The 13,627-nt window shown below is 39.5% G+C and overlaps 1 long non-coding RNA gene across 1 annotated transcript in view, besides 1 other annotated feature; it reads left to right on the forward strand.

Moving 5' to 3' along the window:
• The window catches only part of LOC124901047 (uncharacterized), a 192,316-nt gene that overhangs the window by 123,454 nt on the left and 55,235 nt on the right, over window positions 1-13,627 (forward strand). The gene's annotated exons all lie outside the window — the stretch shown is intronic.
• Window positions 5,376-5,608: a silencer, noted in NCBI's record as "fragment chr5:113270609-113270841 (GRCh37/hg19 assembly coordinates)". NCBI's record gives its function as "represses an EF-1alpha promoter that drives an FKBP-Casp9 reporter gene in an ReSE screen in K562 erythroleukemia cells {active_cell/tissue: K562}" and the evidence as "EXISTENCE:reporter gene assay evidence [ECO:0000049][PMID:32094911]".

Below are 13,627 nucleotides of genomic sequence, written 5' to 3' on the forward strand. Positions count from 1 at the left end.
TTTCCAGCTTCATCCATGTCCCTACAAAGGACATGAACTCATCATTTTTTATGGCTGCATAGTATTCCATGGTGTATATGTGCCACATTTTCTTAATCCAGTCTATCATTGTTGGACATTTGGGTTGGTTCCAAGTCTTTGCTATTGTGAATAGTGCCGCCATAAACATATGTGTGCATGTGTCTTTATAGCAGCATGATTTATAATCCTTTGGGTATATACCCAGTAATGGGATGGCTAGGTCAAATGGTATTTCTAGTCCTAGAACGCTGAGGAATCACCACACCGACTTCCACAATGGTTGAACTAGTTTACAGTCCCACCAAAAGTGTAAAAGTGTTCCTATTTCTCCACATCCTCTCCAGCACCTATTGTTTCCTGACTTTTTAATGATTGCCATTCTAACTGGTGTGAGATGGTATCTCATTGTGGTTTTGATTTGCATTTGTCTGATGGCCAGTGATGATGAGCATTTTTTCATGTGTTTTTTGGCTGCATAAATGTCTTTTGAGAAGTGTCTGTTCATATCCTTCACCCACTTTTTGATGGGGTTGTTTGTTTTTTTCTTGCAAATTTGTTTGAGTTCATTGTAGATTCTGGATATTAGCCCTTTGTCAGATGAGTAGGTTGCAAAAATTTTCTCCCATTCTGTAGGTTGCCTGTTCACTCTGATGGTAGTTTCTTTTGCTGTGCAGAAGCTCTTTAGTTTAATTAGATCCCATTTGTCAATTTTGGCTTTTGTTGCCATTGCTTTTGGTGTTTTAGACATGAAGCCCTTGCCCATGCCTATGTCCTGAATGGTATTGCCTAGGTTTTCTTCTAGGGTTTTTATGGTTTTAGGTCTAACATTTAAGTCTTTAATCCATCTTGAATTAAGTTTTGTATAAGGTGTAAGGAAGGGATCCAGTTTCAGCTTTCTACATATGGCTAGCCAGTTTTCCCAGCACCGTTTATTAAATAGGGAATCCTTTCCCCATTGCTTGTTTTTCTCAGGTTTCTCAAAGATCAGATAGTTGTAGATATGCGGCATTATTTCTGAGGGCTCTGTTCTGTTCCCTTGGTCTATATCTGTGTTTTGGTACCAGTACCATGCTGTTTTGGTTACTGTAGCCTTGTAGTATAGTTTGAAGTCAGGTAGCGTGATGCCTCCAGCTTTGTTCTTTTGGCTTAGGATTGAATTGGCAATGCAGGCTCTTTTTTGGTTCCATATGAAGTTTAAAGTAGTTTTTTCCAATTCTGTGAAGAAAGTCATTGGTAGCTTGATGGGGATGGCATTGAATCTATAAATTACCTTGGGCAGTATGGCCATTTTCACGATATTGATTCTTCCTACCCATGAGCATGGAATGTTCTTCCATTTGTTTGTATCCTCTTTTAATTCATTGAGCAGTGGTTTGTATTTCTCCTTGAAGAGGTCCTTCACATCCCTTGTAAGTTGGATTCCTAGGTATTTTATTCTCTTTGAAGCAACTGTGAATGGGAGTTCACTCATGATTTGGCTCTCTGTTTGTCTGTTATTGGTATATAAGAATGCTTGTGATTTTTGCACATTCATTTTGTATCCTGAGACTGCTGAAGTTGCTTATCAGCTTAAGGAGATTTTGGGCTGAGATGATGGGGTTTTCTAAATATACAATCATGTCATCTGCAAACAGGGACAATTTGACTTCCTCTTTTCCTAATTGAATACCCTTTATTTCCTTCTCCTGCCTGATTGCCCTGGCCAGAACTTCCAACACTATGTTGAAAAGGAGTGGTGAGAGAGGGCATCCCTGTCTTGTGCCAGTTTTCAAAGGGAATGCTTCCAGTTTTTGTCCATTCAGTATGATATTGGCTGTGGGTTTGTCATAGATAGCTCTTATTATTTTGAGATACATCCCATCAATACCTAGTTTATTGAGAGTTTTTAGCATGAAGGGTTGTTGAATTTTGTCAAAGGCCTTTTCTGCATCTATTGAGATAATCATGTGGTTTTTGTCTTTGGTTCTGTTTATATGCTGGATTACATTTATTGATTTTCGTATGTTGAATCAGCCTTGCATCCCAGAGATGAAGCCCACTTGGTCATGGTGGATAAGCTTTTTGATGTGTTGCTGGATTCGGTTTGCCAGTATTTTATTGAGGATTTTTGCATCAATGTTCATCAAGGATATTCGTCTAAAATTCTCTTTTTTTGTTGTGTCTCTGCCAGGCTTTGGTATCAGGATGATGCTGGCCTCATAAAATGCGTTAGGGAGGATTCCCTCTTTTTCTATTGATTGGAATAGTTTCGGAAGGAATGTTACCAGCTCCTCCTTGTACCTCTGGTAGAATTCGGCTATGAATCCATCTAGTCCTGGACTTTTTTTGGTTGGTAAGCTATTAATTATTGCCTCAGTTTTAGAGCCTGTTATTGGTCTATTCAGAGATTCAACTTCTTCCTGGTTTAGTCTTGGGAGTGTGTATATCTCAAGGAATTTGTCAATTTCTTCTAGATTTTCTAGTTTATTTGCGTAGAGGTGTTTATAGTATTCTCTGATGGTAGTTTGTATTTCTTCGGGATCGGTGATGATATCCCCTTTATCATTTTTTATTGCATCTATTTGATTCTTCTGTCTTCTTTATTAGTCTTGCTAGCAGTCTATCAATTTTGCTGATCTTTTCAAAAAACCAGCTCCTGGATTCATTGATTTTTTGAAGGGTTTTTTGTTTCTCTATTTCCTTCAGTTCTGCTCTGATGTTAGTTATATCTTCCCTTCTGCTAGCTTTTGAATGTGTTTGCTCTTGCTTCTTTAGTTCTTTTAATTGTGATGTTAGGGTGTCAATTTTAGATCTTTCCTGCTTTCTCTTGTGGGCATTTAGTGCTATAAATTTCCCTCTACACACTGCTTTGAATGTGTCCCAGAGATTCTGGTATGTTGTGTCTTTGTTCTCATTGGTTTCAAAGAACATCTTTATTTCTGCCTTCATTTCGTTATGTACCCAATAGTCATTCAGGAGCAGGTTGTTCAGTTTCCATGTAGTTGAGCGGTTTTGAGTGAGTTTCTTAATCCTGAGTTCTAGTTTGATTGCATTGTGGTCTGAGAGACAGTTTGTTATAATTTCTATTCTTTTACATTTGCTGAGGAGTGCTTTATTTCCAACTCTGTGGTCAATTTTGTAATAGGTGTACACTCACTAACTTTATAAATCATATTGCCTTAGACCTTGAATACTGATCATAAAATTAGTCAAAAATTGCCTAAACACTTCAATAAAATTACAAGTCCCAGAGGTCAATTTCTCTTAAATGTTTTTTCACTTTAGAATACATATAATTATGGAAATAATTATTGAGGGTACAACCAAACCTACTCTTACAACTATTTTAAAATATCAACACTAAGGCACTGTGGGTGACTGACTTCTTTATTATTTGTATATCTATTCTCATAGCTAACATTACTTACAGTTAACTTATGTCTGACCTTGAGGAAAGCAGTATACTCTATGAGAGCTGAAGTTGCATTTTCTAGGTTGATGCTTGGCGGGACACAGGACCTGGTCATTACAGTCATTATTTAATCAAAATTCATAGAGTGGAAACCAGGTGCTAGATATAGCACTAATAAAGCAACAAACTGTAATTGGATTTAAAACAAACTTATCTTACAAAGGTTTCTTCTATCAGCATAATAAATGTAATATATAAAATATATGCTAAATATATATATTTATATGAATTATAAGTAAAAAACTTAAATTTTAAATTATTAGCATACATTTTATAATTTATCTTTTTGTTGTGCAATGCAGTTTTAAATAGCCTTTAACTTGTATGTAGCATTACTAAAATTACACAGTTTGTATTTTGCAGCTCAAACATGCATCTGTATACAAATAATTCTGACATTTGGATGAGGTTTTACAGTTTATGGAGAAGTTTCATGTATATTGCCTTGTATAAAAGCTAAGATATTAGGTACTATCACCATTATATAGATGATCCAACAGGGACTCAGATAATATATCACATGCTTACTGAATCTATCAAGATTATCTTTTTTTTTTTTTTTTTTTGAGATGGAGTCTCTCTATGTTGCCCAGGCTGGAGTGCAGTGGCACAATCTCGGCTCACTACAAGCTCTGCCTCCTGGGTTCATGCCATTCTCCTGCCTCAGCCTCCCAAGTAGCTGGGACTACAGGCGCCCGTCACCACGCCCAGCTAATTTTTTGTATTTTTAGTGGAGACGTGGTTTCACCACGTTAGCCAGGATGGTCTCGATCTCCTGACCTCGTGATCCACCCGCCTCGGCCTCCCAAAGTGCTGGGATTATAGGCGTGAGCCACCGTGCCCAGCCCAAGATTATCTTAAGATAATCTTTTTTATTTGTCCTATATTTCTATCTATTAAATTATATTGCTATTATAAATACTTTGAAATCTATAAGACTGCAGTCAGTTTTCATATCATTCATCACTTAATCAAATGATCTTTTCCTATGTGGTATCAGAAGGCTTTGGACTTTCTCTGATAAGGAGCAGTAGTGTAGTTTGTAAGGGTGCTGTGCACCCCAGTTTACAGCTCTTCCCGCTCACTAACTATAAAACCTTAAGTCGCTTAACTTGGGGATAATAATAGCATATAACTTAGAGAGTTTTCATGAGGATTACCTGAGGTACTACAAGTCAAGGACCTAAATCAATGCTTGGCTATAGGATGTAATCAGTGGAGGAAACAAGCTATTGTAATTCTTCTTCTTTGGGGGGCTTATTTTGTTGCTTATTAGCACTTGTATGGCAGAAGAAAGATTAGGAAAAAGAAATAGATTCAGTATTTGTTAACTTTCTTACTTTTCAGAAGTTTGGCAAAAGATTTCATTTGAGGACTGATTAAAATAAAAGAATATGATAATTTTTCAACAGTTTAAAACTGCATTTTATTGGCTGAAACTCCAAAGGCCAGTCAGTTTCATACATCTCAAAGTTCCTCATTGTACCCCTAGTTCGTCTGGTAGCTAACTTATCTCTCAAAAGTAGAAGCATTACCTCCTTTGGACCCTGAGTGGTAGAAAGATTACAAAGGGTATGTTAGTGAAAATCTCTCATCCCTGGGAAAGAAGTCAGCCTTTGGGTCCCAGGTTTAGATTGAATGGTTAAGTTGTCTCTTTGTGATTTGGGGGATTTAGAAAGAAACACAAGCCAAAAAGACAAAATATTCCTGAACCTAGAGCCATAAATCCTAAAATCCACCCTGAGAGATAGATTATTGCCTCAAAGCCTTGACTTTTATAATGCCGATAACCTGGGGAGCTGTGCCACTTTTAAATGGCTAATTTACCCTATAGTGCAATTAGTTTCTGAGCTTCTTTGGAGTTTACAGTGGGGAATGAGTTTATAGTGGGTAAGGACCCATAATAGGAGATGGACAGTGGAAGGGGAGCAGAAGACAAATTTTTACCCTGAGGGAAGATAGTCAATGTGGGGGAATGCTCACAGGGCCAGGACTCAGCACAGCTGGGTTCTGCTCTCATGCTGCCACCAAATAGTTGAACAGATTTGGGAGGCTGAAGAGCCAAGTCTTTGAGGAGCTGCCCTGCTCTGATATTCTCTGATTCCCTGTCATCACTGTGTCTTTATATTTAGGCTGGTCATTGCTATCACTTGGTCTTTAAATGAAGAAGAGATAGATCTGTATAGAGCACCCCTGACATAAGTGACTCTGTCTTAGGAAAAGACTCCATCTTACATTTCAAAGGCATCAAGCCAGCAGAGTCCAGATGTTCACCTAATCAATAGAGAAAATACGTAACCAGGTAAGAGTGTAGCCCCTTACTATCTCTCCTTATCAGAGGATTCAAGGGCCATAAAGTGAACAGGTCTTCACCAGGTGGACGTGGCCATCTCCATAGAGACCATCTTACTGTCCCTCATGATTAGCACCTGGCATCTGCTGCCAAAGGCTCTGTCCAAATCAAGGACACTTCCTTGCAAGATGCTGATGACCTTCCAGCTTAGCCCGAGACTCTCTCCTTGTCCACATCACCCTCCTCGGACTGGTTTGTTAGCCCGTTTCCTCTTGATGTTAAATGTTACTTTGATATGGAATGTTTAAGCTAAATATTTATATGTTGCTTAGGTAAACTACTATATATGGTTTGCGGTATTGACTGACCTGTGGAGTGGCTTCAGCCTGTGTACCCACAGCTCTGACTGCAAATTGAATAGATAGTACAAAGGAGAATTGCCGTCTTGGGAACTCCATGTAGCTTTTGGCTATTATGATTGAAATAGCATAAGTAAAAGTCTGACCTTGTGGAAGGACACAAACGTGCACGGATCTAGTTTATGTCTGACCTTGTGCAGCTCACAACAAGATCTCAAGAGAATACCATTTCAAATTTTCCTAAATATTTAGGTAAGTTACTTTGACATACCTAGTTTCTATTGATCTTAAAGTATAATCCTAAATTATGGCTTTATATTTACAGGACGATCTCTGGGCTGATGTTGGCTAACCCACAATTTCTAGTTTTACACTACTTCAGATGATCTCCAGTTTTTTCAGAGTATGTGTCTCTCAAAAATTCTGAAAACAAATATGATAATATTCAGTTTGGTGTTTTAAAATTAGTGTTATGTTAGTGATAACTAACTCCAGTTTCAGATGGGTCTTCAACTTGTTTTCTTCAGTCTCTGAAGAGCAGATATTGGTTGTTCTTGGATGTTCTCTTTGGTCTCATAGCTGTTTGAGGGCATTTTAAGGATGTGCCATGATATTTAATAGATGAAGAACGGATCTAGGACTTGTGGGTGGGTGAGACATTGCTCCCTCTGAGTGGTAAGTTGCTGATGCACTAGTGCAGATGGGCACAAGTGCACAGTGGACAACCAATTGTCTTGAGGCCTGTGGGTGGTTCTAAGAAGGTGCTTGTGTGAAGGCTTTGTGGTTGAGTGCTCAGGATTGGATGGGACATGGCTTTTGGTGCTGCTCACCAGCACTTCCTAGACAGTGCCCACTGTTGTGCTCAATACCAGGCAGGGAGGAGTTGGTACAGATATAAGACCTTGTATTCATCAGGGTTCTCCAGAAAGACAGAATCAATTGGATGCGTGTGTGTGTGTGTGTGTGTGTGTGTATATGATGTATATTGATTCTGTCAGTTAGATTATATATATACACACACACACATATATACATATACACATTTATATATGTGAATGAGAGGGGATTACATATATATATATATATATATATATATGAATGAGAAGGGAATTTATATATATAATTTGAATGAGGGGGGATTACATATATGTATGAATGAGAGAGGATTTATTAAAAGAATTGGCTCACGCGATAAGGGAGTCTGAATTCTAAGTGCCACGACAGGCTATCTGCAAGCTTAAGAACCAGAGAAGCCAATAGCATAGCTCAGCCCAAGTCAGAAGTCTGGAGAACCAACGAACTCCATGAACTCCATGGTGTAACTCTCAGTTTAAGGCTGAAGGCCAAGAGCCCTGGGAGGCCACTAGTACAAATCCTGAAGTCCAAAGGCTGATGAAGAACATGGAGGTTTTATGTCCAAGGACAAGAGAAGGGCATCTCACTCCAGAAGAAAGAAGAGAGAGCTATAGACAGAGAAAGAGAAAGAGAGGGAATTTGCTTTTCTGCCTTTTTGTTCTATTGGGGCCCCCAGCTCATTGAATGGTGTTCACCCACATTGAAGGTGGATCTTCCTCACTCAGTTCACTGACTCACACACCAGTCTCCTCTAAAAACACCCTCACAGACACACAAAGAAACAATACTTCACCAGCCATCTAAGCATGCCTCTATGCAGTCAAGTTGACACCTAAAATTAACCATCACAGGTCTGACAACACCTTTGCTTGGCCTTATTTCCCTGTCTTCCCAGGATTCTCCCTTCCTTCCGCTCACACTAATACCCTCCCCCAAAGTCTTCTTTATTTTGTCTCTGAAAACCTTTTATCTTTTCTTTAGAGTAGACCTTCATGCTCCATTAAAACTAGAGCTGAGATCATTAGTAACCGAAAACCTATTCCCTTTCCCCCTTTCTTGGAGGCAGAAATGACAGAGCACTTATGTTTCAGGCTCTCTTTCCCTGGGTTCAGTGCTCCCAATAGGGAAGGAAAAAGTAAGTACTCATATTAAAGTGTTTGAAATTCAAAATTTTGTTACTCACTACCTTAAGGAGTCATAAAAGGTGGGGAGAACTAATGGTTGTTAAAATATTTTAAATGTTGAGAAGTATTGCTCAAAGATCTACTTTATTCTTTTTGTAGTTCTGATATTTCTCTATACAAGCTAGGAGTGATTTCTATCTCCTAAGAACTGTCAGAAGAAAAAAGAGGCTGCATTCCTCAACTATCCAAAATGTATTACCTATATTTAGTTCAATAAACATTTTTAAGCCACGCTAAAGCTAGACTGTGCTGGAGAAATGAAAAATTCAGAGGTAAATAGGACATATTTTTTTTGTCCTGAAGAAGCTTAGTCTAGAAGACAAATTAGATTCTAAAGATAGTTGCAGCATGAAGAATATGGAACACAGGTGGGAAACATTACATCTTTGTGAATGAGAAAGGACTCCATGAAAGGAGGTGGCATCTGAAAGATTGAAGCACACATAAGATTTTGATAACTGGAGATTTCTGTTTCTACTTAGGAGATGCTGTGATTGTCTCCTCTATATTCATCCCATACACCTTCTATTCGGGTGATAACAGTGGAGTTTGAAGGGGATTGATCCTATCCTTGATCTCTCAATATGCTCTTATTGGGCCAACTTAGTGTAACCCTGTTCCCTTTTTAATTAATTCAGGTAACCCAGACTAAAATCATTTTGCTGGACCACAGATATCAGTTGAATTTGCATAAATCTCAGACATTTTTTGGAATTTCAGGACATTTATCCTGCATTACCTTTAGATGCTAGTTACTCTAATGTACTGCTGTAAAGCAGGAAGATATAGATGCTACACCTAACTGGGAAGCAAGCCTAAGGACAAAGCTGATAGACAGTAGAAAGAAAGGCAGAAAAATGAACCTTAGTACTCATCTAATACACATATGAAACTTGAAATACTTTAACATCTTTTGGTTAAATAAGTAGATAAATTTACTTAACTATTTAGGCCCATTCAAACTGGGATTTCTGTACTTGGAACTAAAAATATTGTAAATGATACAAAACAGGGAAGAGGTTGGTATTTCATAGTTTAGGTTCAAGAAACATTATAATAAACAAAGGCTAGGAGATGAGTTGTATCACAATTTGGCAGTACCAGGGTCAGGAATGGCAGACTAAATTTGAGAATTAGAATTATACAACTGAATAGAAATGTAAAGATCATTCATTTAGCACCTTCCTTTGTCATATGAGGAAAGGGAGGGTCAGAGATCCTGAATGACTTTTCTTGTGTAGGCAAGGTTGATCATAGAAGTCACCAATCTGTTTCCTGGACCCCATCTGCCTCCTCACTTGTTTATCATCAGTGTGCCCACATCCAGACCAGTCTGTCTGGTAGACTGGTAGCTCCTCCTCAATCTCCCACATTCTTTTTCATACTCAATTAGGACAGAGCTCATCATTTTTGCCCAAACATTTGCCCCTCCTTCTATGTTCTTCTTCAGTTGCTTAAGATAGAAATGTGCTTTTTTTCTTCTCGTCTAAACATTCTTCTTGTGTGATCCAGGCACATATCTTCCACTAACACCTATATCCTCATAACTACCAAATATACAGTCTGAAACCCATGATTTTAGAAGCTTGTGTACAACTTCCATTTTTCACTGGAAGGCCCCAGAAATGTATAGAACTGAACATATTCTAAATGCATTAACTACCTCCCCATTTGTAAAGAGCAATTATAGCAGACAAGTGGATCCACTTGACAGATATCTGGGATTCATTCTTAGTACCTTTTCTTTCTTAACTAACCTCTCCATTCCCATTATCCTGTTGATCAAAACAATCGCCTTTAAATTTTTAGAATCCGTTCCTTTTTCCCCACCCACAGACTTTGCCTTTATTCGGATCATAAACATTTTTTCCCTAAATTAGAAATAGAAGCAGTTGGTCACCTTGCTTCCAGTCTTGTGTTGCTTACAGTCTGTCCCTTCCACAACCATCAGAGATTTTCCTAAAGGGATATTTTAGGTAACACTGTAGTGGCTCTGGATACTGATTTTCTCTTCCCATAAGGGTGTTGTTTGCTTGGTCATTTGTTTATTTGTTTATGACTTGGCTGAAGTCTATTTCCCCTACAGTGCTTGCCCTCTAATGTTCCCGATCAGATTTTTTTCCCCTTGTTTTTATCTTTTGTCTTTTAATTTAATTTAATTTAATTTAGTTTAATTTTATTTTATTTTATTTTATTTATTTTTATCTTTTATTGTACCCAGGGCCCAGCATGAGCCTTTTATTTGTCAAAGGTTGTGTGTAAGTCCCTTTGACTAGGTGAGTTTTTAACCTTTCCTGGTGTGTGTGTCTTGCTGGTATACAATTCAGGGGATTTATGTTGGTTTTGTTTGTTTGTTTTGCACCCGTGGCTAGCCTGGAGATAGTAGCTTGGAGATTCCCCTTCTGATTGCCTTGAGAGGGCACAACTTGGAAATGCACACAGTCTTCCAGACCTGCCAAGAATGACTGTGCTGTTATTTTTAAGCCTGGCTTCCTAAGAGTTGCCCCAGGCAAGGTAACTTATTGTTTGATCACTATTTAGTCAGAAGTTGTGCATAAGCTCCTTATGCCAAAGAGAATTCCACCCAGTGTTGGTGGGTCTATGTGTGGCTTGGGATGTCTTTCCGGTCTGTCCCACCTGCCGTGACTCCTCTTGAGTAGGAGCAGCCCAGCACATATGCACTGCCTTTCTGACACCAAGAGTTAGCACCCAGCAGTGCTCTCCTGGCTTTCTCTTCATCCAGCTCTCTCCATTAAACTGGCCACTCTGCCATTTTGTTTGTATCCTGGAGCTACCATAATTGCTCTTCACCAAGTTCTCCATTGCTTCTGACAGTGCCTTTAGGCATGGAGCTTTCCACTTTTTGTTATGAATAAGTCAGCCAAGTCAGGCAGAGCTGCAGAGGTTTTTATTCTTAGGGCATTCCTTTCCCCCTGGGAGCAGAGTTCTGCCTTCCCAGAGTGACACTCTGCTCTTTGACTGGGTACTGGGAAGGAGGGTAGCCCCTGCTCTTCACAGCTTGCACCACCCCCACATGGAAGCTCTGTTTTACAGATGAATGCGAGTGTGGGTGATGGGGCCCAGCATTCTCTGTGTGTCATGACTGGACTAGAGCATCTGTCCTACAAGCTGGGGCTGGATGAGGGAGGAGATACCCCATCCTGTTGGACTGGAATAAAACTACAACACGGGGATCACGGTGAAGAAAAACACTAGCAGCCTTCTCCTTCCAGGCTAAAATCATGGCCACAGACTACTGGGAGCTGAGGGAAAGAACTCTGTCCCCACCCCTGTTTCCCCCATCTTCTTGGCTACATAAACAAGGAGAAGCTCTTTTAGAACATGGAACTGCTTGTGAGTGGAAATGAAGTGAGTCTTGGCTCAAATGTCACAGACTCACTGTTCTTACTGAGATAAAGTAGATTTTCTTGTATGAATGTTTCTGCATTTACCGTATGCCCTTAGGACATTTTCTAGAACCTCTAAAAGATTGAACTATATATATTTTTCAACAGTTAAACTGTCTTGCTGAGAATGAGCCCCCTCATCTTTGTACTTTATCATTCTGGATGTCCCATTCTTCATTTTTTAATATCCCCAGAGTCCTCAAAAAATGAAAGTAATCCAAGTATCTCTCAACTTCTGAGAGGCCCTGGTTGGCATTCTATAGGCACTCAATCCTTCCTCAAATTAATGAACAAGTAAATGGATGGAACTGATGGATTGTGTAAGAAGGATTGAAGGACAGTGAACAACTTTAGGAAGATGTTGCCACAGTTGAGTATATTGTGGTCTCTTCTTATGCTCATTTCTCCTCCTCCCTATTTTTAACCAGAGAATTTAGAAATTCAGGCAATTTAGGAATATTGAGTTTTCATAATCATATCTAGTGATCATAATCTCTGATCACTAGAAAGAGAGGTTCCTCTTCCCAAGGGGCAAGGGTTAGAAGGATGGGAATTGTACTGGTACCTCTGCCTCCCAACTCTTACCTCAGTTCATTGTTCACACGTCTGTCTCCCTAAGCTTTTTGTGTGCGGCAGCAATGACATTATCCGTGTATTCACAGCATTCCACCCTGTGTTCCCCAGAAAGCAACAGAGTTGGAACCATCAATGTAACGAAAGCAAGCCAAAACGCCCTCCTATTCGGGGCCTGTTCTGGGGTGGTGGGAGGGGGGAGGGATAGCATTAGGAGATATACCTAATGTTAAATGATGAGTTAATAGGTGCATCACACCAACATGGCACATATATATATGTAACAAACCTGCACATTGTGCACGTGTACCCTAAAACTTAAAGTATAATTTAAAAAAAAAAGAAAAAAAAAGTGACCCCAAAACACCCTCCTAAATCTGAAAACTACAATTCTTTGGGGGAGCTTAGTGCCTTTGTGGTGATATATTAACTCTGCCCTGGCAGAGATGAAGGGAAGGATGGATGTCAAAAGGGGCCCATTGAAGTTTACAAAAACGCCCTTTCAGAAAAATATATGGCTGGTCTGTACCTCTATTTAATATGGCTTGTCCCATGTCATGAGTATCCTTGATTGATGCAATGGGGAAAATGTGTGATTTACGAATCATTTCCACTAACAAGAACCGCCAAATTATCCTATGGCAGTCTGTTATAAGGCATAGCGAACCATTCATTTCCTCTTGATACCAGTCTTTGAAGTCGAGGGACATCCACATAGGATAAAATTAGACTGAAGTTACTGCTGAAAAACATTCAATACTTTTATCACTCCCACCCTGTCCCCTGCTAATTGCTTGCCATTGTTGCTTATGAATATTGGAGATTAAGAGTAAGTGGACAAGAGCCACATGTGTAAGTTACCTTTTATTTTTAGAATTAAAATGTTCCTTTTTCAGGACTGGGATATTTCACACTCTGTTATTTATTTCAGTTATTTACCTGGAAACCTGAGCCTGTTAGTTGCCCCTTTATATCTGTTCTCCCTCTTTTTCTTAGTACTGGCATTTCAGCTGGCTGTATGGCCACCTAGGGTTAAGACAATATTTCTTAGCCTCCTTGCACTAGGTAAGGCCATATGACTCAGTTTGGGCTAATGAGATGTAGGTAAAAGTATCACGTGTGACTTCTGGGAAATGTCCTGAAAGAGAGAAGCAGGCTCATCTATGTTCTTTTCTCTTTCCTGCTGCTGGAATGCCTTTTTTTTTTTTTTTTTTTTTTTTTTTTTAGGTGGAGTCTTGCTCTGTCGCCCAGGCTGGAGTGCAGTGGCGCAATCTCGGCTCACTGCAAGCTCTGCCTCCTGGGTGCACGCCATTCTCCTGCCTCAGCCTCCCAAGTAGCTGGGACTACAGGGGCCCATCACTATGCCCGGCTAATTTTTGTATTTTTAGCAGAGATGGGGTTTCACCGCATTAGCCAAGATGGTCTTGATCTCCTGACCTTGTGATCCGCCCACCTCTGCCTTCCAAAGTGCTAGGATTACAGGC

The sequence above is a fragment of the Homo sapiens genome, chromosome 5 (genome assembly GCF_000001405.40).
Source record: "Homo sapiens chromosome 5, GRCh38.p14 Primary Assembly".
Lineage (NCBI taxonomy): Eukaryota > Metazoa > Chordata > Mammalia > Primates > Hominidae > Homo > Homo sapiens.